The sequence below is a fragment of the Homo sapiens genome, chromosome 11 (genome assembly GCF_000001405.40).
Source record: "Homo sapiens chromosome 11, GRCh38.p14 Primary Assembly".
Classification (NCBI taxonomy): Eukaryota; Metazoa; Chordata; class Mammalia; order Primates; family Hominidae; genus Homo; species Homo sapiens.
In genome coordinates, this window is record NC_000011.10 from 73,869,423 (window position 1) to 73,895,230 (window position 25,808).

At 42.9% G+C, this 25,808-nt stretch overlaps 2 protein-coding genes across 11 annotated transcripts in view, besides 2 other annotated features; one reads left to right on the forward strand and one right to left on the reverse strand.

Annotated features, from left to right (window-relative positions):
* Nucleotides 1–3,244: 3,244 nt before the first annotated feature.
* Nucleotides 3,245–7,424, reverse strand: COA4 (cytochrome c oxidase assembly factor 4 homolog). Of its 3 annotated transcripts, XM_017017884.2 has the most exons (3): nucleotides 7,335–7,424; nucleotides 7,057–7,153; nucleotides 3,245–3,972 (listed from the first exon to the last, which is right to left on the reverse strand). In XM_017017884.2, the coding sequence occupies exon 3, from the start codon at nucleotides 3,954–3,956 to the stop codon at nucleotides 3,693–3,695; it is 264 nt and encodes an 87-aa protein (XP_016873373.1). In that variant the 5' UTR covers nucleotides 3,957–3,972; nucleotides 7,057–7,153; nucleotides 7,335–7,424; the 3' UTR covers nucleotides 3,245–3,692. The 3 variants fall into 3 exon arrangements, with proteins under 3 accessions (XP_016873373.1, NP_057649.2, XP_016873372.1); NM_016565.3 differs by lacking the exon at nucleotides 7,057–7,153; XM_017017883.2 differs by lacking the exons at nucleotides 7,057–7,153; nucleotides 7,335–7,424 and adding an exon at nucleotides 4,999–5,053 and having other exon boundaries at nucleotides 3,245–4,322.
* The window catches only part of PAAF1 (proteasomal ATPase associated factor 1), a 54,416-nt gene continuing 35,884 nt past the window's right edge, over nucleotides 7,277–25,808 (forward strand). For 3 of the 8 annotated variants that reach the window (XR_007062508.1, NM_025155.3, XM_047427639.1), the window contains exons 1-4: nucleotides 7,577–7,646; nucleotides 9,357–9,397; nucleotides 17,932–18,035; nucleotides 21,690–21,779. Coding sequence is in view for 6 of the 8 variants with exons in the window: in NM_025155.3 (NP_079431.1) it covers nucleotides 7,600–7,646; nucleotides 9,357–9,397; nucleotides 17,932–18,035; nucleotides 21,690–21,779 (282 nt within the window). In the remaining 2 variants the exon portion in view is untranslated. Of the gene's footprint in view, nucleotides 7,320–7,576; nucleotides 7,647–9,356; nucleotides 9,398–17,608; nucleotides 17,678–17,931; nucleotides 18,036–19,358; nucleotides 19,824–21,689; nucleotides 21,780–25,808 lie in introns of those variants that run through there. The other 5 variants (NM_001267803.2, NM_001267804.2, NM_001267805.2 and 2 more) reach the window with 5 other exon arrangements.
* Nucleotides 7,675–7,724: an enhancer, noted in NCBI's record as "active region_5243". NCBI's record gives its function as "activates an Ori minimal core promoter by ATAC-STARR-seq in GM12878 lymphoblastoid cells {active_cell/tissue: GM12878}" and the evidence as "EXISTENCE:reporter gene assay evidence [ECO:0000049][PMID:35858748]".
* Nucleotides 7,745–7,814: an enhancer, noted in NCBI's record as "active region_5244". NCBI's record gives its function as "activates an Ori minimal core promoter by ATAC-STARR-seq in GM12878 lymphoblastoid cells {active_cell/tissue: GM12878}" and the evidence as "EXISTENCE:reporter gene assay evidence [ECO:0000049][PMID:35858748]".

The window sequence follows — 25,808 nt, forward strand, 5'->3', positions numbered from 1 at the left end:
GGAAGGGCTAAGGCTAAACCATGAGTCTGCCCTAGGCCTAGCCAAGATAGGCATCAAGCCAAGAGGTCTCTCCACTCATCCCTGGCACCAAGCCTCTAAGCAGAGGCAACCCAAAGCTGCCAGAGTTAGATCCTATAGGGACAGGTATGAAGCACCTTAAAGTTCAGCTCCTAGATTGTGGGCTGCAGAGCTGAGACTAAAGAAAAACATACCAAGCTATATCACTGTGGGCAACTTGCACTAATTAATTGCAAAAAGTTAATTTCCTTTTTGCAAAGTGCTGACAAAAGCAAAGTAATATTTACACAGTCAATGTGGTTACTCACTACTGTGTGTTAAGCACTGTACTGGGCAACAGATGCTTGTGAGAGTAGAGTAGAAAACAGCCTAGGCTTTAGAGCAAGACATACTTGGAGTCTGATCCCCAGTCTGAGCTTTATTTCCTCATCTAAAGGAGAGTGAATGCCATGTTCAGAGGATTACAAATTAGATTAGATAATGTAACTCAGGACAGTCACTAGCACACATTAATAGTGATGATGGTAATAGCTAACGTTCACTGAACACTTACTATGTGCCAGATGCTGTTCCTAAGCTAAACCAATGTTTAACTCAATCTTTCAATAATCCTATGAGGAAGGCCTATATTCGTTTTGAGGCTTGTGAAAAAGGTACTATATATGCATTTTTACACAGGTAAAAACAGATCCTGGGATGTTAAATAACTTGTCCAAAGTCACAAAGCTAGTCAGTGGCGTAACTAGGATGTGAAGGTAGCACATCATTGGGATTGAGAGCAGGCTCTGGAACCAGATTGTCTCAGTTAAATGCCCAATAAATTTTAACACTTTTTATTATTAGTTACGTATGTTTCATTCCCTCATTTATTTGGCTTATGACATATGAATTATCCCCATTTATCTGAGGGAACAGGCTTGGATGGCAAGAGTCCTCTTTGCCTGATCAAATACGTTCTGTGACCCACCCCATGCTAACTCCCTATTAGAGCCAGTGTCCTTCAAAACATGCTTGCTCCACTTAGCTGGTCTGGAAGCCATCCTTCCTGCCAAAGAGGTCTTTTATGCTTCTCTCTGCTGCTATCACCCCCTCCTCCATAGCCTACTATTCTTTCTTACACAAAATACACGCATTCCTGTTATAAAAGATTTGAATACACAGCAAATAGAGTCCTTACTGATGGAAATTGACATTGGGACCATTTGTTTACTATTATAAACAATGCTGCAATGAACCTAATAGTATGTATGTCTTATAAAAATACATTTCTGGCCAGGCACAGGGGCTCATGCCTGTAATCCCAACACCTTGAGAGGCTGAGGTGGGAGGATCACTTGAGCCCAGGAGTTTGAGACTACCCTGGGCAACATAGTGAGACCTCATCTCTACCAAAAACAAAAACAAAATTTCTCTTGATTATCCATGATATAGAGCATATTTAGTTTCCTATGTTTTGTGGTTTATTTGTTCACTATTTTTTTTTTTTTTTGAGATGGAGTCTCGCTCTGTCACCTAGGCTGGAGTGCAGTAGCAGGATCTCAGCTCACTGCAACCTTCACTGCATCCTGGGTTCAAGCAATTCTCCTGCCTCAGTCTCCCAAGTAGCTGGGATTACAGGCACACGCCTATCTAATTTTTTTGTGTTTTTAGTAGAGACGGGATTTTGCCATGTTGGCCAGGCTGGTCTCAAACTCCTCATCTCAAGTGATCCACCCAGTTCTGCCTCCCAAAGTGTTGGGATTACAGGCGTGAGCCACTGCGCCTGCCTTACTTGTTCACTTTGCTGTCAAACTATGTGCTTCTTGGTGGCTTCCAGGTACTTTTAATTCTGGATGGTAATCTTTTCTGTTATAATTTACAAATAGGTGATGTCTACTTCATCTTTATTATCTATTTATTTATTGAGACCGTCTTACTCCATCACCCAGGCTAGAATGCAATGGTGCGATCTTGGCTCACTGCCATCTCCACCTCCCAGGTTCAAGTGATTCTCCTGCCTCAGCCTCCCAAGTAGCTGGGATTACACTCAGCATGCGCCACCATGCCTGGCTAATTTTTTTGTATTTTTAGCAGAGATGGGGTTTTGCCATGTTGGCCAGCCTGGTCTTGAACTCCCGACCTCAAGTGAGCCACCATGCCTGGCCTACTTCAGCTTTAAAAGTTCAACTCAACTAATCTCTTCTCTTCTTTGAGATTCTTGCTGAAAACTCCAGTGCACACTGCTTGTTTCCTTTGATGAATCAGCACTGAGCACACACACATAGCGATTTGTCTTTATAATTTGCTGGTTATCCCCTTCAGCCAGAAATAGGATTGTTCTTTAAACTCCTACCTTCTCCCCTTTTCTCTTTACTTCTTCCCCAAATACTGGCATGAAGGTTCAAAGTAAATTTTAAGGCCTACTATACCTCAGATTTGGGCTTCTAATAGATCCTGAAGAAATATTTGTTATTGTCTGGGTGTGGTGGCTCACGCCTTTAATCCCAGCACTTTGGGAGGCTGAGGAGGGTGGATCACTTGAGGTCAGGAGTTTGAGACCAGCCTGGCCAACATGGTGAAACCCCATTCTCTACTAAAAATACAAAAATTAGCCGGGTGTGGTGGTGCTTGCCTGTAGTCCCAGCTACTTGGGAGGCTGAGGCAGGGGGATCACTTGAATTTGGGAGGCAGAGGTTGCAGTGAGCCGAGACTGCGCTACTGCACGCCAGCCTGGGCAACAGAGCAAGACTCCATTTCAAAAAAAAAAAAAAGAATAGAATGGAAGAGTCGTTTTGTTGAAGAAAAATGAGAAATGATATGCAACTGTTTTGAATGGGAAAACACAACCTACTTAAAGGGGGAGTTATTATTCAGCTCCAGCAAATTGTTAAGAGGGAATAAAAATCAATGTTGACATCTTCTCCCCTTTTCAAAAGCTGAAAATCTGTATTTTAGTGTTAAATATACTCTAAAAATGTTAGCCCAACTTTGTGTTTGTTGGGTTGGGAGCAAGTTAAAGCCAGACTTGGTATCTGTTAATTCAACAGAATCTGGCATTTAATAGGTACTCAATGTTTGAATAATTAGCTGGGTGTGGTGATGCACACACCTGTGGTTCCAGCTACTTGAGAGGCTGAGGTGGGAGGATGGCCTGAGCCCACTGAGGATGCAGTGAGCCCTGACTCCACCACCACACTCCAGCCTGGGCAACAGAGACCCTGTCTCAAAAAAACAAAAGAAAAACATATTTGAATAAAAAGTTTCCCCATTTATTTTTCCTTCCACTAAACTGATTGAAACATCCAGAACAAGTGATGAAAGAGAAAGGCACTAATTAGGTAATCAATTTACCATTAGATTGTAAATTTAATTTAAAATAAAATGTCCCTAAAATCATCTCAGTACTTGGCACACTGACTTAAGATGTGGGGTGGGGGAGCATCCCTTAACACATTCTTTGTTTTCCTGGTAAATACTGGTGGAACAAGACAGCTGAGAATGTATGACATCTGACCATGAACATATGACAGCTGTTTGTGCCAGTCATGTCCAAACCCATGGCTCTCAACTCCAGATCCAAAAACTCTCCCCATGTTTTAGACCTCCCACACCAGCATTTAGGATTTCTTCCTCTATAATCTTGCTGGGTGCTGGTCTTGGCAGGGCCATCTACTGGGGATAGGTGGTTTGGGGTCTCAGTGGTGGGCACCGGCTTGTTCTTGCCTCCTCTGCAGCTCCTCTTGCCGCCTCGCCTGCTGTTCACTCATGCAATCCTTGAACGCCTGCACCTGTGGCTGGCATTGCCGCCAGTCCTGGTGCTGGGCCATGCACTCCTGCACTGCAAAGTGGGAGGCAGCACAGCCAGAGCGGGAGATCAGCTGGTCCAGCGGGTCCTCCTCCTCATCGTCTTTCTTCACCCGTTGGGTCCAGGTATGGCCTTGAGGGACTGAGGTTGACATCCTGGGGATGGGGAGTCTATAGAACATTAACAGGTTAGAGTAGGGATATAATATGTAAGGTTCCTAAATTATAAATAGCACTGACCAGACTGCACCATTTAGCCTGTTTAATGTGTCTGTCTCCCGTGGGAGACTCTAAGCTTGAAGACAGATGCTTGTTTTTTTTTTTTTTTTTTTGAGGGTGTCTTGCTTTGTTGCCCAGGCTCACTGTAGCCTCCATCTTTAGGGATCAAGCAATCCTTCCCCCTCAGTCCCTCCCTGGCCAGAGTAGCTGGGACTACAGGTGTGCATCACCACTCAGCTAATTTTTTTGATTCTTTAATAGAGACAAGGTTTTTCCATGTTGCTCAGCATGGTCTCAAACTCCTGGGCTCAAGTGATCCTCCTGCCTTAGCCACCCAAAATGCTGGGATTACAGGTGTGAGCCAACTGTGCCCGGCTGATGTTCGTCTTGATTTACCTTTGTGCCCCCAGCACTAGGCCTGGCTGAGAGCAGGCCTGAAAAGTGGTTTGAACTGAATGAGATAAACTGTGAGAATGCTTGACATAACATTCAATAAGCTCAGTGGATTTTGCTATTGGAATATGAATTAGGTGAAATGTCATCTTTTTAGATAAGCTATCTCTGATCTACCTAAAAAGAACTAAACTTTCAGCTAGGTACGATGGCTCACACCTGTAATCCTAGCATTATGGGAGGCTGAGGCAGGAAGATCCCTTGAGCCCAGGAATTTGAGACCAGCAGGGGTAATAGCAAGACCTCATCTCTACAAAAAAATTTAAAAATGGCTGGATACGGTGGCTCATGCCTATAATCCCAGCACTTTGGGAGACTGAGGCAGTCGGATCACCTGAGGTCGGGAGATCAAGATCAGCCTGACCAACATGGAGAAACCCGTCTCTACTAAAAATACAAAATTAGCAAGGTGTGGTGGCATATGCCTGTAATGCCAGCTACTCAGGAGGCTGAAGCAGGAGAGCCGAGGTTGAACTCGGGAGGCGGAGGTTGCGGAGAGCCGAGATCACACCATTGCACTCCAGCCTGGGCAATAAGAGCAAAACTCCATCTCAAAAAAAAAGAAAAAAGAAAAAAAATGTAAAAATTAGCTGGGCATAGTGGCACACACTTGTAGTCCCAGGTACTCAAGAGGCTGAAGAGGGAGAATCCTTTGAGCCCAGGAGTTCAAAGGCTGCAGTGAGCTATGATGGTGCCACTGTACTCCAGCTTAGGTGACATAGTGAGACCCTGTTTCAAATAAATAACCTTTCTTCTTTTATCCTACTAGCCTTATTCTATGCTGAAGAACAAAGTTTAAAAAGTGAAAGAGGCTGGGTGCAGTGGCTCACACATGTAATCCCAGCAATTTGGGAGCCCGAGGCAGATGGATCATAAGGTCAGAAGTTCAAGACCAGCCTGGCCGGGATGATGAAACCCCGTCTCTACTAAAAATACAAAAATTAGGCGGGCGTGATGGCAGGCACCTGTAATCCCAGCTACTCGGGAGGCTCAGGCAGGAGAATCGCTTTAACCCAAGGGGCGGAGGTTGTAGTGAGCCAAAGATCGTGCCACTGCACTCCAGCCTGGGTGACAGAGTGAGACTCCATCTCCAAAACAAACAAACAAACAAAGTGAAAGAGTGCCCAAATATGGGTAGGTTTTGACACATGGGAAGGATGGAAAGAGTTCACTGTGGCTGTAGCATACAGTATGCAGAAACCTGGCCTCTGGGTCTATAAGGTGAGATGGCTTTGTAAACTATACAAAAATGTGAGGTGTATTTATTTGCCCAAACTGTCTTGCCCGTCTGCATCAGAACACTCAGCAGAAAGCAGCATACAGAAGGAACTTAAGGTTTGAAGAGAAATGACTTCAGCCTTTGCAAAAATTTCACCATGATGGGCTGTAAAGCAACTAGGACTCCTTATTGCCTTAACTGTGTCTCTCATTCACTCAACAAATGATTAAGTACCTATCATGTACCAGGCACTATGCTAGTGCTGAGGATTCAAGACTGTCTAAGTCAGTTAAGTTCCTGGCTTCATGGAGTTTACAACCTAGACAAGGAAACAGGGCAGTTTACTACACAGTGTACAGATAGCAAAGACTGGGACCACAGTGGAGGGATGCCTAATCCAGACAAGGGCAGGAATAGGCAGGGAAGGCTTCCTAGAGGAAGTGATTTCCAAGCTGAAACTTGACAGATGGAACAGAAGTTAGCCAGAGATGGGAAAACTATTTTTGGTCAATGGAAGAGCAGGTGGTTGAGATAGAATCTGACACATGAGAGCAAAAAAAAAAAAAAGTTCAGTGATGGGAGAATACAGTGTGAGAATAAGACAATATTAAACTGGCGATATAAGTAAGTGATCATCACAAGGCTTTGTAGGACATAGTAGGGAGTTTAAGACTTTTTATTCTGAGGGCAATGGGGAATCACAAGAGGGAGTTAGGCACTTTACACAACTCATTTGCCTTGGAGGCGGTATAACTTAAGCAAGAGGGAGAAAATGGGCTTTGAAACAGACTTGGACCTAGCTTTGTCACTGCCTCATTTGGTGCCCTTGGACACATCATTTAATAACCTCTCTGGAAGCACAGAGATGAAGCCGGGTGCCATGGCTCACGCCTGTAATCCCAACACTGGGAGGCTGAGGCGGGAGGATGGTTTGCGCCCAGCCTGGGCAACACTGTGAGCCGTGATCACGCCACTGCATTCCAGCCTGGGTTACAGCGGGAGACCCTGTCTCAAAAAAAAAAAAAAAGAAAAAAAAAAAGGTAAGGTTTGTAAGGAGGCTGGTATGTCTAAAGAGTTCAATAAATGATAGTTTTCTCTTCCTAAATACACTGTTAACTCTTTAAATAGGGCCAGGAGCAAATAATTTAGAGAAAGAACAGTGGAATAGAAAGTGCCTTGATCCTAAACCAAGAGATCCGTGTTCAAATCCCAGCACTACGCCTTACTATGTAATCTTTTTCATTTTAGTTTTCCCATTAATAATATTTAATTCGCACAATTAGAATGAAGATTAATATAACGAATGAAAAGCGCTTGGGCTACTATAGGACTCAGTAAATGCTGCTGTACTCTCCTCTCACCACCTTTTGGCTTCAGTCTCCTCTGGAGTAAAATGACGACGACCCCTGCTCAGAGATCAGGGTAGGCTAGATGGTTGGCAGCTGGATCGTGGAGGCTGGCCTAAACAAGGAAGTCATGGAAAGGATCTTAAAGCAGAAAAATGCTGGCAGCCACGAGGCCTGAGGCGCCTCAGGCGTATCGAGGACTTTGAACTTTGAGGACGCATGCGCGCGCGCGGCCGCTGATCGCAGCCCCGTTGTGCCCGCAACGCCTCCTGAAGAACGCGGTACGCGATGCTCACCGAACAGGTGGGAGAAGAGGGCCCGAACGCACGCTCCTACGCGGCGGCTTGGGTTTCGCAGGCGGTTGGGGATCCTCTGTACATCCTTTCAGGAACCAGCCCCTCGTGGGGAGCGTGCACACGGAAGGGGCGGGGAATGTGAAAAAGTCACGTTTTCATTGGTGGCCTCTTGGTGTTGAGCCCACCTCTGTCCTCGCCGCACGCTTCTCGGGGACTCACTTCCGGGAAGGGGCGGAAGAGGTGGGCTGGTGGAGGCGGGGTCGAGATGGCGGCGCCTTTGAGGATTCAGAGCGACTGGGCGCAAGCCCTCAGGTGAATCCAGGCCCAGAACAGAGTCAGAGGAGGCGGGTAGTGGATGTTGCTTTGCGTCAAGGAGAGCCATGCCTGGTCCAGGATATCAATAGGGGTTACTTCGTCAATTGTCGAGGGATATGGAGGGAACAGGGTCCGGAAAAAGAAGTATCAAACCCGTATGGTCATTCTCTGAAAAGCTATCCCTAGGCCAAGGGAGCACATGAGCTGTGTGATCCCCGCGTCAGAACTAGTATCAGTGAGTTGGAGAAAGACAGGGATACTGGGAGGCAGGAAGGCTTTTGGCCAAGCAGTCATTTAGCAAATATTGATTAGTCGTCAGTTACTTCCAGAAGTCTCTGTACTCACCACCACTTTGTGTATGTGATGGAACCTTTGTATTCTCCTAGGCCCCTAATGCTATATTAGGCATACTGGACGATACTATTAAGGAAACTAATACTGTGTCCAGGCCCCATACTGGATGCTTGGTGGAGCTCAGATGTATACTCTAAATATAAGTGATGGTTCCTGCTCTTCAAGAAGCTGACATCCAGGCCAGGCGCAGTGGCTCATGCCTGTAATCCCAGCACTTTGGAAAACTGAGATTGGTGGATCAGTTGAGGTCAGAAGTTCGAGACCAGCCTGACCAACATGGTGAAACTCCGTCTCTACTAAAAATACAGAAATTAGTCGGGCTTGGTGGTGGGCGCCTATAATCCCAGCTACTCGGGAGGCTGAGGCAGGAGAATCGGTTGAACCCAGGAGGTGGAGGTTGCAGTGAGCCGAGATTGCACCACTGCACTCCAGCCTGGGTGACAGAGCGATACTCATCTCAAAAAAGAAGAAAAGCTGACGTCTTAATTAGGAATACACAGCAAACTATTCATTCATCTAACATTTATTGATCTTATACTATTCCAGTTATTTCTCTAGGCTTCAGGATGAATATAGCAGTGCTATATTTGGCAACTGCTACTACTAATAAGGGTTTTTCAAATTGAAACAATGGTGAAGATGAATGAAACATAGCCTTCTGCATTTAAGAAATTTACACCTTACTAAATTTATACCTTACTTAATTTAGGTGGGCTAAAATACAGACTAGTTGCTAGTACACAGAATGTGATAAGTAATAAAGAACAATAACATGAAGTGCCACTAGCTACCTATGAGAAAATACAGCACCAGAATCAGAAGGCTTAATTTGCCCAAGATCATGCATCTCGTCAAATGATAGAGGGTTGCTGTCAACCTAGATCTTTCTGTCTTAAATGCATAGACCCTTTCCATTATACCCTAAAAGTGCTAGGGTGAAGAGATCAGGATTTGGATGATTGGGCAGGTGCTAAAATAATAAAAGGAATCTTGTTTGGTTATTGTGAGGGTTAATGATTGTGTATGGAAAGTGCTTAGCACAGGGCTTGGTTTACAATAATCCTGATAAATAATTAAATAACCTTGATTTTTCAAAGTGAGCTCACTGTTGATGGATGAGCATTAATTTAACCAACAGATATCTATTCATTAAATAGTTAATCCACAAATATTTCTTGAACAAATAAAGTTTGTCTGTCTTAGAATGATCTATACTCGATGAGAGGTTGGACTATCTCATGTCTAAGTACTATGACCAAGCTGGAGGTTACATGACCTTCTTTCTTCCCTTGTAACTATGGGATCCTATTCAACTTTGGGTAAGCCTAATTAGGCTTTTGTCTTTCTTCGTAGGAAGGATGAAGGGGAGGCCTGGCTGAGCTGTCATCCCCCAGGTAATACCCATGAATTATATATGCTGTGACTTTAAAGGAGAAGGATTAATACCCTTAAAAGAAAGCTTCCTACTTTCTCCTGGCCCAGCCTCCTTACATAATAGTCTGCAAACATGCTTGACCAGTCTGTACTGTATGGCCAACACCCCAACTCCTCCATTCCAAGGGAAGGCCTTCAGATTGATTTTCCATTTGAAAGCCACAGACTTATTCATGGAGACATTGTTGATGCATCTTAATTAGTCACTTACCCTGTGCTATTGTATTCTAAGCACTTCTGCAGCTTCAACTGGGACTTTCTTGATGATAATTTCTAGATCTACAGCCCCAGCCCTGACTTCTCCATGTTCAAGCAGAGATTGATCAGTTGTTTGCTAGATATTTCTGCTTAAAGGTCTCACTGTCACCTTAAGTTACTGGACTTACTGAAGTCCAAAACCAAGCTAAGTACATTTGTTGTCAAGTGAGTTCTCTTTCCTGATTTTTCTCATTTCTTAAGTTACCATCATTTTTCTAGGCATCAGAGTGAAAAACCTAGTTACTTGACCCTGCCATATCCAGGAAGCTCCCAAGTCTTATCAATTTTTCTTTTGAACAACAGTCTTATATCATTCACAGGATTCTTTTCAAATTGTAACCGAGGTGGTACCATTCTAAAACAAATCAACCTTCCTTCTAAATTCTGTAAGAAAGTTTTGTTTTGCTGATTATCTTTCATTTCAAATGCTGCTGATATATTGTATTTCTATGAGAAATAAAGTTTTGGCCAGGCACAGTGGCTCACACCTGTAATCCTAGCACTTTGGGAAGCTGAGGCAGGAGGATCACTTGAGCTCAGGAGTTCGAGACCAGCCTGGGCAACAAAGTGAGACCCCCTCCCCATCTCTATAAAAAACAAAAAAAATTAGTCAGGCATAGTGGCATGCGCATGTAGTCCCAGCTACTTGGGAGGCTGCAATAGGAGGATCTCTTGAGCCCGGGAGGTTGAGGCTGCAGTGAGTTATGATCGAACCATTGCACTTTTGCCTGGGTGACAGAGTGAGACCCCATCATTAAAAAAAAAAAGACTATTGTTTATATCAGTGGAATAAAGGATGGACTTTATAGTGCTGTGACTTGCCAATCATCTTAAAAATAAGGCCAGACGTGGGGGCTCATACCTGTCATCCACCATTCTGGGAGGCCAAGGCGGAGGATTGCTTGAGACCAGCCTGGGAGACATAGGGAGACCTCGTGTCTACAGCAAATAAAACTAGCTGGGCATGGTGTTGGGTGTCTGTAGTCCCAGCTACTCAAGAGGCAGAGGTGGGAGGATTGCTCAAGCCCAGCAAGTCAAGGCTGCAGTGAGCTGTGATTATGCTACTGGACCTCCTACCCTGGACAAGGGTAGCCGTGATCATGCTGCGTGGTCTCCTACCCTGGACCAGAAAGTGAGACCCTGGCTCTAAAAAAAGAAACACACACACAAATACACAAATATATATATATACACACACACATATACATATGTATACTTAACATAAAAATTCAAGGAAAATACTGTATTTTATTTTACCTATTTTATTGTGCTTAATTATGTTCAAAAATCCTATTCTAACTGCTTGAGCTAGGATTGTGCCACTGTACTTCAGCCTGAGAGACAGAGCAAAACCCTGTCTCAGTTAAAAAAAAAAAAAAAAGCCAGGTGCGGTGGCTCTACTAAAAAAAAATACAAAAAATTAGCCGGATGTGGTGGTGGGCCCCTGTAGTCCCAGCTACTCGGGAGCCTGAGGCAGGAGAATGGAGTGAACCCGGGAGGCGGGGCTTGCAGTGAGACCAGATAGTGCCACCGCATTCCAGCTTGGATGACTGAGCAAGACTCTGTCTCGAAAAAAAAAAAAAAAAAAAAAAAAAAAAAAGCCAGGCACAGCAGCTCACGCCTGTGATCCTAGCACTTTAGGAGGCTGTGGCGGGCGGATCACCTGAGGTCAAGAGTTTGAGACCAGCCTGGCTAACATGGTGAAGCCCTGTTTCTACTAAAAATACAAAAAATTACCTGGGCGTGGTGGTGCATGCCTGTAATCCCAGCTACTCGGAAGGCTGAGGCAGGAGAATCGCTTAAACCCAGCAGGTGGAGGTTGCAGTGAGTGGAGATCGTGCCATTGCACTCCAGCCTGGGCAACAAGAGCGAAACTCCATCTCTAAATAAATAAATAAATAAAATAAAAATACACAAAAGACCTACATTTTATTTTAACTAAAATATATAAACATACATTAAAATTCACCTTCTCTTTATTAGTCCACTTATTATTACAAGGACCTTGGCTATCTTGTAATAAACTGTAACCAAAAGGCACAGTTTCTTTAAAGCAAGGCAAATCTTTACTTAGGCTAAAAAAGCAATCTAAGAGCAAAACATCAACTGGGGTTTATATTTTTTTAGATCTTTTCCCTAATATTTTGCATTTTTCTTGCCGATACATACTATTAAAGCAGTATTTTTTAAACAGAATCTAGCTCTGTCACCTAGGCTGGAATGCAGTGGCATGATCTCAGCTCACTGCAACCTCCAGTCCTAGGTTCAAGGGATTCTTGTGCCTCAGCCTCCTGAATAGCTGGGACTACAGCTGGGACTACTACCATGCCCAGCTAATTTTTGTATTTTTAGTAGAGACAGGGTTTCACCATGTTGGCCAGGCTGGTCTTGAACTCCTGAGCTCAAGTGATCCGCCCGCCTTGGCCTCCCAAAGTGCTGGGGTTACAGGTGTGAGCCACTGCCCCCGGCCTAAAACAGTTTTAAAAAAACATTATCAAGTCTTTACAAAGCAACAAACTTAATGTTGTTGTTGTTGTTGTTGTTTTAAATTACCAAGCTACCTTCAACAACCAAGGAGTTTTTTTGTTTGTTTGTTTGTTTGTTTTTGAGATGGAGTCTCACTCTGTTGCCCAGGCTGGAGTGCAGTGGTGCAATCTTGGCTCACTGCAACCTCTGCCTCCTGGGTTCAAGCAATTCTCCAGCCTCAGCCTCCCAAGTAGCTAGGACTACAGGCGCGTGCTACCATGCACGGCTAATTTTTTGTATTTTTTTTTGAGATGGAGCTTTGCTCTTGTTGTCCAGGCTGAAGTGCAATGGTGCCATCTTGGCTCACTGCAACCTCCGCCTCCCAGATTCAAGCAATTCTCCTGCCTCAGCCTCCCGAGTAGCTGGGATTACAAGCATGTGCCACCATGCCTGGCTAATTTTGTATTTTTTTTTTTTAATAGAGACAGAGTTTCTCCATGTTGGTCAGGCTGGTCTCGAACTCCCAACCTCAGGTGACCCGCCTGCCTCAGCCTCCCAAAGTGCTGGGATTACAGGCGTGAGCCACTGTGCCCCGCAATTTTTTGTATTTTTAGTAGAGATGGGGTTTCACTGTGTTAGTCAGGATGGTCTCCATCTCCTGACCTCGTGATCCGCTCCCTGGCCTCCCAAAGTGCTGGGATTACAGGCGTGAGGCACCGTGCCTGCACTTTTTTTTTTTTTTTTTTGAAGGTAACTTGTAGATTCAGTTTTCTTTATGAATTGGAGTTAATGATGTCAACTCTTAAGGAGGAGGGTGGTTTTTGTTTCTGTGTGTGTTTATTTTTATTTTTATTATTTATTTATTTATTTATTTATTTTTGAGATGGAGTTTCGCTCTTGTCGCCCAGGCTGGAGTGCAGTGGTGCGATCTCCGCTCACTGCAACCTCCACCTCCTGGATTCAAGCGATTCTCCTGCCTCAGCCTCCCAAGTAGCTGGGATTTCAGACATGCGCCACCACGCCTGGCTAATTTTTTTGAGACGGAGTCTCGCTCTGTTGCCCAGGCTGGAGTGCAGTGGCATGTTCTCGGCTCACTGCAAGCTCCGCCTTCCAGGTTCATGCCATTCTTCTGCCTCAGCCTCCGAAGTAGCTGGGATTACAGGTGTCCGCCACCACGCCCAGCTAATTTTTTTGTATTTTTAGTAGAGACGGGGTTTCACCGTGTTAAGCAGGATGGTCTCGAACTCCTGACCTTGAGATCCGCCCACCTCGGCCTCCCAAAGTGCTGGGATTACAGGCGTGAGCCACTGTGCCTGGCCTGTTCTTATTTTTTTGAGACAGGGTCTTGCCCTGTTGCCCAGGCTGGAGTACAGTTGCATGATTATGGCTTACTGCAGCCTTGATCTCCTGGGTTCAAGAGATCCTCCCACTTCAGCCTCCTCAGTAGCTGGGACCACAGTCATGCACTACCATACCTGGCTAATTTTTTAAATTTTTTGTAGAGACAAGGTCTCACTATGTTGCCCAGGCTGGTCTTGAACTCCTGTGTTTATTTTTTAATACATGGGGTCTCGCTGTGTTTCCCAGGTGCTGAATTTGAACTCCTGGTCTCCAGTGATCCTCCCTCAGCCTCCCAAGTAGCTGGGACTCTAGGTGTGATCCACCATCTTGTTTCTTGTTTTTGTTTTTAAATAACAGCTTTATTGAGATAAAAATGTGTGCTATCTATGTGCTAGTTACTTTACATATATTATTTCTAGTATCACCCCCAAAACAGTCTATACCCATTAACAGTCACTTTCCACCCCCCAATCCTAGCAACCACTAGTTTACTTTCTAGCTCTGTGGATTTGCCTACTTTGGACATTTCATATAAATGGAATCATAAAATACATGGCCTTTTGTGTGACTTCTTTCACTTAGTATAATGTTTCTTTCTTTCTTTTTTTTTTGAGAGTCTCACTGTGTCGTCTAGGCTGAAGTATAGTGGCACAATCTCGGCTCCTCACTGCAGCCTTCACCTCCCAGGTTCAAGTGATTTTTGTGCCTCAGCCTCCTGAGTAGTTGGGATTACAGGCGCCTGCCACCACACCCGGGTAATTTTTGTATTTTCAGTAGAGACGAACGAGGTTTCGACATGTTGGCCAGGCTGGTCTTGAACTCTTGGCCTCAAGTGATCCTCCCACCTCGGCCTCCCAAAGTGCTGGGATTACAGGCAACTTAGTATAATGTTTCTATTTGTTGTTTTTATCAGTACTTCGTTCCTTTTTGTGGCCCGGTAATACTCTGTTGTATGGATATACTACATTTTGTTTATCCATTCATCAATTAATGGACACATATTTCTAGTTTTTGGCTATTATGAAGGAAGGAGATTTTGATGGCAGGATAGATGGCATGAGAACCAGCTGCTGTGGGGAATGGGAGGGGTGAAAGGATTACAAAACTGCTGAGTTTAGAAACATGAATTGGATTGGTGACAGTCGGCACAGTTGTGTTCTTTTCTGGAGCAGTACTCAGCAGCCTGCATGTAGGAATGTAGAAGGTAAGTGGTTGGATTGATCCTAGTTCTGCTATTATATAGAGAAAACCAAGGCTGAGGTCATTTTAGTGACTTCACAAATGTAGAGAAGTCAGCTGGGCAGGGTAACTCACCCTGTAATCCAAGCACTTTGGGAGGCTGAGGCAGAAGGATTGCTTGAGCCCAGCAGTTCGAGACCAGTCTGAGCAACATAGTGAGACTCTGTCTCTACTAAAAATAAAAATAAAAAAAATAGCTGGGCATGGTGGCATGCAGGCTACTCAGGAAGCTGAGGCGGGAGAATCCCTTGATTCTGGGAGATAGAGGCTGCAGTGAACCATGATCATACCACTGCACTCCAGCCTGGGTGACAGAGCGAGACCCTGTCTCAAATATTAAAAAAATACATATATATACATCCACAAATGTGGAGAAGTCATTGAGTGATTGGTTGAAATGATGCACCATGAGGGCCAGACTTCTTAAGGCAGTTGGTAAACACAATAGGGAATCATGGAGTGGGATAAAAAGTGAAGTTGCTTCAGTTCTGTTTTTGTGGCATCTTTCTGAAATAGTGCTTCATGATACTTCCCTGTGAAAAGCGTCTTTACTAGGTCTTCTCTAGGCCAAACTTCTACCCTAGACTTTGAGTTTCTCTGGGATTTATCCCTCAACTATCATTTCCATGACTGCTATTACCAAACTGGTGTATTAATTGATGAATCCTTCCTTCTTGTTCTTTTTGACTTTCTTTTATTCTTTTTTTTTTTTTTGAGACGGAGTCTCGCTCTGTCGCCCAGGCTGGAGTGCAGTGGCGGGATCTCGGCTCACTGCAAGTTCCGCCTCCCGGGTTCACGCCATTCTCCTGCCTCAGCCTCCCAAGTAGCTGGGACTACAGGCGCCCGCCACTACGCCCGGCTAATTTTTTGTATTTTTAGTAGAGACGGGGTTTCACCGTTTTAGCCGGGATGGTCTCGATCTCCTGACCTCGTGATCCACCCGCCTCGGCCTCCCAAAGTGCTGGGATTACAGGCGTGATATTCTTTTTTTTTGAGATGGAGTCTCACTCTGTCACCCAGGCTGGAGTGCAATGGCGTGGTCTCGGCTCACTGCAACCTCTGCTTGCCAGGTTCAAGGTATTCTCCTGCTTCAGCCTCCTGAGTATCATAGCTGGGACTACAGGCACGTGCCACCACACCTGGCTAATTTTTGTATTTTTAGTAGAGAAGAGGTTTCACTATGTTGGCCAGGCTGGTCTTGAACTCCTGACCTTGTGATCCACCCACCTTGGGCTCCCAAAGTGCTGAGATTACAGGTGTGAGCCACCATGCCCGGCTGACTTTCTTTTATTCTTGATATGCTCCTCCTTGACTTGGAGTTTTCTTTTCCCTATTTTCTTCCTAGCCAGCTCCTATCTTTCTTTGAGGCTCCTATACTCTCTAGAAAGCCCTCCCGGCCTGGTCGTGGTGGCTCACACCTGTAATCCCAGCACTTCGGGAGGTTGAGGTGGGTGGATCACCTGAGGGGAGGAGCTCAAGACCAGCCTGGCCAATATGGTGAAACCCCGTCTCTACTAAAAATACAAAAATTAGCCAGGTGTGGTGGCACGTGCCTTTAATCCCAGGTACTTGGGAGGCTGAGTCATGAGAACTGCTTGAACCCAGGAGGTGGAGGTTGCAGTGAGCTGAGATCACGCCATTGTACTCCAGCCTGGGCGACAAGAGTGAAACTCCATCTCAAAAAAAAAAAAAAAAAAATCCCTCCCACTCTTGTGTGAATCCATGATGATTTCTGCTTCTCTCCTGTAACTTCAGTTTGGCTCAACATTTATTTACTGAATAATAAATGAATGTAGCACCCTGCTAGACTTAAGGACTTCACAGTCTGTTGGGCAAGTCAGACATGTAAACAGTGTGTTATGGGCTGTTATAGACATGAATATATAAGGTGTAGAAGAAGAATGGAAACAGTTTTTAACTTCATTCTATCATCTGCGTGTGTTTATGTGTAGGATAGTATCTTACTTAGCCCATATCTCTGCAAAATCAGTATTCTACTTAGGCAAATTTTACAGGTTACTGAAGCTTAATTCTTTACTATGTATTATGTGTATATACTGTAGATAAATACATGTATGCATACTGATCTTCACCTTTCATCCTGGAAGAATTACATTTCACAGCCAGTTACATCAGGTTGAGATCACTCTAAAAGCCCTCTCTACAAATGCTGTATCAAATCTCTAAATCTTTGTTCTTAGCTTTTAGTCTTGAAAATGTATTTTAGTCAGGCCAGGCGCGGTGGCTCACGCCTGTAATCCCAGCACTGTGGGAGGCTGAGGCGAGTGGATCACGAGGTCAGGAGATCGAGTCCATTCTGGCTAACATGGTGAAACCCCATCTCTACTAAAAATACAAAAAATTAGCCGACATGGTGGCGGGTGCCTGTAGTCCCAGCTGTTCGGAGGCTGAAGCAGGAGAATGGTGTGAACCCAGGAGGTGGAGATTCCAGTGAGCTGAGATCACGCCACTGCACTCCAGCCTGGGCGACAGAGCAAGACTCCATCTCAAAAAAAAAAAAAAAAAAAAAAAAAAGAAAATGTATTTTAGTCTTGAAAGTGTATTCCCTTTCAAATTAGAGTTTAGTGCTATAGTGTGTATGTTTGACCCCTCCAAATCTCATGTTGAAATTTAATCCTCAGTGTTGGAGGTAGGGCCTAATGGGGGGTGTTTGGGTCATGGGGGCAGACCCCTCATGAATAGATTAATGTCCTCCCTGGAGAGTGAGAGTGACTGAGTTCTCACTCTGTTCTTTCCTGAGAAAGCTGATTGTTAAAAAGATCCTGGCATCTCCCTTCTCTCTCTTACTTCCTCTCTCACCATGTGATCTCTGCATACACTGGCTCCCCTTCTCCTTCTGCCATGAGTGGAAGCAGCCTGAGGCTCTCATCAGAAGCAGATGCTGGTGCCATGCTTCTTGTACAGTCTGCAGAACCGTGAGCCAAATAAACCTCTTTTCTTTATAAATTACCCAGCCTCAGGTATTCCTTTATAGCAACACTAAACAGACTAAGACACCTAATCTAATTCTCTTTTTACTTCACCTGACTTTTAACACAGGCACCTGTTTTTCTTTCGTGGGCCAATTTCATGGGTATACTATTTATACAGATGCCTGAATTGGGTCTTCAAAGAGAAAAATAATAAATTTTTCTTATTTTTTGAGACATGCTTCTTTTGTACCATATAGGGAAACCATCTTTGTATGGCAGCCTGACTTGTCAAGGAATTGGCCTAGATGGCATCCCAGAGGTTACAGCTTCAGAAGGATTTACTGTGAATGAAATAAACAAGGTATGTTTTTATGTCTTCTAGATGGCATGATATTTAAAACTATGGTAGTACCCAAACATCTACCTTAGATATTTATACTATTATCTGTGTATCTCCACTTCATTTGTATGAGAATCATAGTTTTTGCTGTCTGTGAGTGTCATTGGTATTTTCTATTGTAGTTACATATACTTTTAAGTGCCATCAGACTTCCTCTTACTTCCCTTATATCAGCTCTGATAATGCAAGATGCATGTGTAATTTAAAATTTTCTAGTGGCCACATTATAGAGATAAAAATAAACAATGAAATTGATTTTGTTTTGTTTTTTGAGATGGAGTCTTGCTCTGTCGCCCAGGCTGGAGTGCAATGGCATGATATTGGCTCACTGCAACTTCTGTCTCCTGGGTTCAAGCAATTCTCCTGCCTCAGCCTCCTTAGCAGCTGGGATTATGGGCGCCCGCCACCACACCCAGCTAATTTTTGCATTTTTAGTAGAGATGGGGTTTCACCATGTTGGCCAGGCTGGTCTCGAACTCCTGACCTCGTGATCCACCTGTCTCGGCCTCCCAAAGTGCTGAGATTACAGGCGTGAGCTACCATGCCCAAGCGAAATTGATTTTAATAATATATTTGATCTAACCCAGTATATCTAAAACATTATTTCAACCTGTAAATAATACTAAAAATTATTAGAGATATTTTACATTTCTTTTTCTTATTAAGTCTTCAAAACTCCATGTATATTTTACTTTTACAGCTTATCTCAGCTCAGACTCTAATTTTTATTAGAAATACTTGATCTGTATTTAGGTTTTATAAAATTTACAGTTGAAAATATAGATGCCCATATCCAAGTAGTTCTCAGTTGCCTGATACGGCCATTACCTACTACACTGAACAATGTAGCCTTATAATCCATATCTGGTGAGGCCTTGATGAAGAGCCTACATTAATAGTACTTAACAGTTTTTCTTGTTTGTCTTTGAGGTGAGTAGATGGGTAAGCAAAGCGTTGGAGAACCCATGATTTGCCTCTCCCTACTCATTCTGACTGCTGCAGTTAGTATGCTCTGGTGAGATGATTCCGTAAGGGTGGACCAGCCTTTTGTTTCATTTTTCATTTTTTGTGTAATTAAACTTTTTAGTTATAAAAAATATTTTGGGTATACTGACAAGAATAGAGAATACTTTGTTTTTTACATAAGATTTTTAGCAAATGTTCATTCATTACTCTCTTTGGGCCAGGTAGTAGGCTACATGTTATTATATATTTTATATTTGTTTTTCATAAACAGCTATGGGTATTATAGGTATCAGAAGATCTAAGTCTTAGTTAACTCTGACACTTATTAGCTGTGTGATTTTGGACAAATAACTTAGTTCTCTGAGTCTCAGTTTCCTCATCAATAAAGCTGAGATCCTATTCTACCTCCTAGAATGGTTAATGGGGAATGAGACTGCATGTGGATGAATCTATAAAATACTACAGAAGTTAGTTTTGGTTCTTTTACCATAACAATCCTGTGGGATTGGCATTTTAAATTTCCATTTTGCAGATAAGCAAACCAACTCAGAGAGGTTAATTAATCTCAAATAATCAAAGACAGACTGTATGCTGGAATTGAAACCCAGTTCTGTTGATTCCAAGTTTAGCACTACCATGCAAGCCTACGTTTTTCCCAGGTGTTTTGGCACAGCCTGGGTGCTGACTTCTTTCTTCCCTTCATACTCAGACCTGGATACAGTCTTTATCACTTCAAACATGATTGCTAATTTTTGCTGTGAACCTGCTGAGTGGGTTCAGACAGTAAGTGCTTATGGTTGAACATTCATTTGTTTCCTAACTGCCATGAGTCACTTTGCTAATTTGATATTGCTACATTGTTCTCTTAAACAGTAGATCTGTCATTATGCTTAAATGTCTAACCCTGGAGCATAAAAATGTTTGACTTAGAATTTTATCTTAGTGCAGCATACTCACACTTTTTCCCCTTGGATTTTGTCTGTTCTGATCTCTCTTGCAGTTTTTCTTTAAAATATTTTCATTAACAGCATGATTGTCCACTGCTAATGTTGGAAGATATTTTAACATTTATCTTCCTTTGTAGTCTGTTTGTGGATTAAAGATTGATTTGCAAGACTGCAAAGTAGGAGAAAAGTACTGATTATTGAAATCTGTCACATAGCTCCAAAGAAATGAAGTCTTCTGAGAGCAAATCCAATTCTTACAGAGGCCCAAACACTAAGCTTTTGAAGCTCCTTGCATCCTTGCTAATATGAATATTCAGCCAAGAGGATTTAGCTGACGCTTTAGTTTCTGGTACAAGAGGCAGTTCCAAATCCAGGCCAGCACTCTTGCAGCTATATGGGCTTTATCACACAGTTAGAAGCAAAAACTCATTTAGTGAAAGGCCTGCAGGCAGCCAGGCATGGATATGCTGGCTAAGAAAGTGCTGTTTGTGTAGATAGTCTAATTGTCATTTTAAAGGAGTAGATGATCTGTAAAGAGCATACTGATTCAATGATGAGAATATTTTGACTTTGAAACCATTCTTTCTAATGAACTGTGAGGACCTGTGCTTGTTGGATATAAAGAGGTTCAGAAAATTTTGATTATTGAAGACATTTTCATTGTCCTGAAGAATTACCAGAGACTTTGAAGTACTACTGCAGAAGAGATAAAAGGTTAGGGGTCATTTGGTGAGTGCAGCTCCTCAGTTCCTTATAGGAGATCTATACTTAAGTGATAGTATTGGTATTATGCTGGTTAGAGTAAGGGACTGTCATATTGCAAGAGTCCTTGAGGGAGGGTTTACCAAGCCTTTTTCTTTTTTTTACCTCTACACGTGCTACCTTCAAACGCCAATATTCTTACCTAAAATGGTTACAAATGGCCCTTAGCAAGTCATGTCTCCTGAATCTAACATCTGGTTCTAGGTATAGTTTCCTAATATGCCACCAGTGTTATCTTCCTACAGTAGTTGAAAGACAGGTGATAATGACTAGGTAGAACACATGGGGCATCAAAATATAGCTGTGTTACAACAACCAGTCTATGAACATGTACAGTCAATTTAAGTCTTAGGAGGGAATAGGCACCGTAAGCCTGACCCAGGCCTACATATTTTATGGGTGTACCATAATTTACTTTACCAATTTCATCTGGTCATTGTAAATGTCAGTAGTCTAACATTCTCTCTAAAAGTTCTTGTAGACAGCAAGTTTACTTTTAGACTTGTCTTTTAAGACCTAGGTTTGGGGGATGGTGTTGAAGAGTTTCCTTATATCTCTTTATGTCCTCTTCGCACTGATCCTGTTCCTTGCCCCACTGCTAATTGAGAGTATTGGTATTAGATTTTCTTCTTAAAACGAATGCTCTAATGCTTATTGGTTGTATCATATTGTTTGTCTGTCTTCTGTGGAGCAGCTTATTTCAACACAAAAAGATAATGGCATCTTAGCAATACCAAATTACACTGTAGCCCTCAACAGTTTAAAAGGACTGCTGATCTATGGGGGAGGGATAGTTTTGTGGGGTGGGAAAGGAGAACGAGAGAGGGTACACTGAGAAGATGAGAATGTCCTGTAGTCCTAATGTTTTCTTTAAGAGGCTTTAATTATAATACATTGGAGGAGTTTTACTGATGAATCTCATCTTTTCCTCTTTGTTTAGAAAAGCATTCATATTTCATGTCCAAAGGAAAATGCATCTTCTAAGTTTTTGGCACCATATACTACTTTTTCCAGAATTCATACAAAGAGTGTAAGTATTTTGATAAAATGAAGAGAAAATGTAATAGCATGTTAATTTTTCATTTTATTTGCTTGTCTAGTGCTATAAACATATTCATAATTAATATGTCTTTCATTTACTTTGCATTGTAAGATGATACAGCTGATGAAGTCTGATGTGTTTGGCAAAACTGGTACTCTAGTCCACATAGAATATGTGTTCAAATCTACTCACTGGTCATCTTAGAGATTATATGAAATTTCCTTACATATGTTTTAGGAGAGTTACCAGCTTTCAGATAATGATATAATACTTGATGCTTGGCTAGGTGCAGTGGCTCACACCTGCAATCCTAGCACTTTGGGAGGCAGAGGCAGGAGGATCACTTGAGGCCAAGAGTTTGAGACCAGCCTGGGCAACAGAGTGAAACCCTGTCTCCACAAAAAAACAAAAATTAGCTGAGCGTGGTGGCACTTACCTGTAGTCCTAGCTACTCAGGAGGCTGAGGTGGGAGAATTTTTTGAGCCCAGGAGTTGGAGGCTGCAGTGAGCTGAGATTATGCCACTGCACTGCAGCCTGGACTCTGTCTCCAAAAAATAAATAAAAATAAATAAATTTGTAATAGTTGATGCTTATATAATAATGCTGCTGCTCATATTTTATTCCTTTTCCTATAGGACAGGGATATTTTCTCAAAATTTCAAATATACCACATTGAGGAATAATTTTCAAAGGTCTTTGTGATATAAAGCCTTTTCTACTACCATGGGCTTCTTGGAAGCAGAAGTGAGAAATTGCTAGATAAAACTGATTATGTTGAAGCCATTCACTTCTTACTGTGTGGTACGTTTTTTAAAAGAGCAATTTTTGGCCAGGCACAGTGGCTCATGCCCGTAATCCTAGCACTTTGAGAGGCCGAGGTGGGTGGATCACTTGAGCTCAGGAGTTCAAGACCAGCCTGAGCAACATGGTGAAACTCTGTCTCTACAGAAAAATACAAAAATTAGCCAGACATGGTGCCACATGTTGTAGTCCCAGCTACTCTGAATGCTGAGGTAGGAGGATTGCTTGAGCCCAGGAGGTTGAGGCTGCAGTGAGCCATGATCATGCCACTGCACTCCAGCCTGGGCAACAGAATGAGACACTGTCTCACCAAAAAAAAAAAAAAAAAGAAAGAAAGAAAAAGAGCTCTTTTTCACCCTTATTACAAAACAGATATATACTTAGTGATGAAAATTTAGGACATGTAAAAAAAGGAGAATCACTCATATTTCTGTATCCTAAAGATAACTGTTAGGAACTTTTGTTGTATATCCCTTTTAAATAATAATCATAGTAGTAAAGCTCACATTTATTGATTGCCTACTATGAGCCAGCACTGTGGCAACTCTACATATCATTATTTTACTTAATACTCTGTCTTTTCCTTAAATATTTTACCAAAATGGGTTTTTACATTACATGCTATTTTATAACTTGCTTTTTGTTTTGTTTTGTTTTTGTTTTGAGATGGAGTCTCGCTCTGTTGCCCAGGCTGGAGTGCAGTGGTGCAGTCTCGGCTCACTGCAAGCTCCACCTCCTGGGTTCACACCATTCTCTGCCTCAGCCTCCCGAATAGCTGGGATTACAGGTGCCTGCCACCACGCCCGGCTAATTTTTTTTGTATTTTTAGTAGAGACGGGGTTTCACTGTGTTAGCCAGGATGGTCTCAATCTCCTGACCTTGTGATCCGCCCACCTCGGCCTCCCAGAGTGCTGGGATTACAGGTGTGAGCCACCGTGCCCAGCCTATAACTTGCTTTTTATTACTTAATTATATGTCCATTATTCTATGCTGTCTTTCAATGTATCCTTCTAAGAGCTGCATGGTATTCTATTGATGAGTTTACTATAATTTAATTTAACAGTTTTATATTACTGGACATTCAGGTGTTTCCAGTTTTGTGATTTTGTATTTTTATGAATACATTTATAGCTAAAGTTTTGCTCCCAAAGATGGGAAGAAATTAGAATACATTTGTAAAAGTGGAATTGCTAAGTCATAGGGTGTGGGAATTATGAGGCTTTGGGTGTGTTCTAATGCATTGCCGCTTAACTGATGTATAGAGTCAATTGTTGCTCTTCATTTCCTCTGTAAAACATACCGTTAGGTTGAAAGTTTATCAAGAGTCAATTGTAATGCCAGTTATATTATTTTTGAAATTATATAAATTAATTAAATCTTATGTTAAATCAATAAAATGTGAATGTGAAAAGCGGAAAGCAGTTATTTATTTGAAAACTAGGCTGGGCGCAGTGGCTCATGCCTGTAATCCCAGCACTTTGGGAGGCCGAGGCAGGTGAATCACCTGAGGTGAGGAGTTCAAGACCAGCCTGGACAACATGGCGAAACCCCGTCTCTGTTAAAAATACAAAAATTAGCCAGGCGTGGTGGCGTGCACCTATAATCCCAGCTACTCGGGAGGTTGAGGCAGGAGAATCGCTTGAACGCGGGAGGCAGAGGTTGCAGTGAGCCAAGATTGCGCCATTGCACTCCAGCCTGGGAGACAAAAGTGAAACTCTGTCTCCAAAAAAAAAAAAAAAAAAAAAAAGAAAGAAAAAACTAAACGTGGGCGCGGTGGCTCATGCTTATAATCCCAGCACTTAGGGAGACCCAGAAAGGAGAATCACTTGAGCCCAAGAGTTCAAGACCAGCCTGGACAACATAGTAAGACCTCGTCTCTACAAAAAAATTAAAAGTTAGCCAGGTATGGTGATGTACATCTGTAGTCCCAGCTAGTCGCCTGGCTTAAAAATTTTTATTCTTATTTTTTGTAGCGGTGGAGTCCTGCTCTGTTGCCCAGGCTGGTCTCAAACTCCTGACTTCAAGCAGTCCTCTCTCCTTGGCTTCCCAAAATGCTGGGATTATAGGTATAAGCCACTGTGCCTGGCCTTTATACATCATTTTTTATTATTTTCTGCTTTAACTGAGGGAGAAGGCAATTCACCTCTTGGGAGAGTTGGGAATGCCGCTCACCTTTTGAGAAGTAAGTCATTTTAAAAATCATTTACAGGCTAGGCACAGTGGCCCATGCCTGTACCCAGCACTCTGGGAGTCCAAGGCAGGAGGATCACTTGAGCCCAGGAGTTTGAGACCAGCCTAGGCAACATAGTGAGACCTTGTCTCTACAAAAAAATAAACAAAATAGGCTGGTTGTAGTGGCTCACACCTGTAATCCCATCACTTTGGGAGGCTGGGGTGGGCAGATCAATTGAGGCCAGGAATTCAAGACCAGCCTGGCCAACATAATGAAACCCCATCTCTACTAAAAATATAAAAATCGGAGGGAAGGGATAGCATTAGGAGATGTACCTAATGTTAAATGACGAGTTAATGGGTGCAGCACACCAGCATGGCACATGTATACATATGTAACTAACCTGCACATTGTGCACGTGTACCCTAAAACTTAAAGTATAATAATAAAAAAAAATCTACTAAAAAAAATAAAAATAAAAAAAAAATCAGCTGGGCATGGTGGCACACGCCTGTAATCCCAGCTACTCCGGAGGCTAAGGCACAAGAATCGCTTGAACCCAGGAGGCAGAGGTTGCAGTGAGCCGAGGTTGCGCCACTGCACTCCAGCCTGTGTTACTGAGCAAGACTCTGTCTCAAAAAATAAAATTAGCTGGATGTGGTAGTGTGTGCCTGTAGTCCCAGCTGCTCGAGAGGCTGGGATGGAAGGATTGCTTGAGCCTAGGAGGTCAGGGCTGCAGTGAGCTGTGATTGTGCCATTGCATTCCAGGCTGGGTGACAGAGTGAGACCATGTCTCAAAAACAAACATAACTGTGCTCCTTTTCTATTTCTTATTCTCTTTTTATTTGAGCTTACTGAAAGATGATTCATCCATTTATTAATCACCTACTATATTTCAGCCAGTCTTCTGGATACTGAATAAAATAAATAAAACTGCCCTTATAGATCTTACATGCTAGAGATGTGGGACTAGACGTGATTTGCTGATGACTTGGATGTTAAGTATGAGAGAAAAGGAGGAGTTGGGATGATTCAAAAAATTT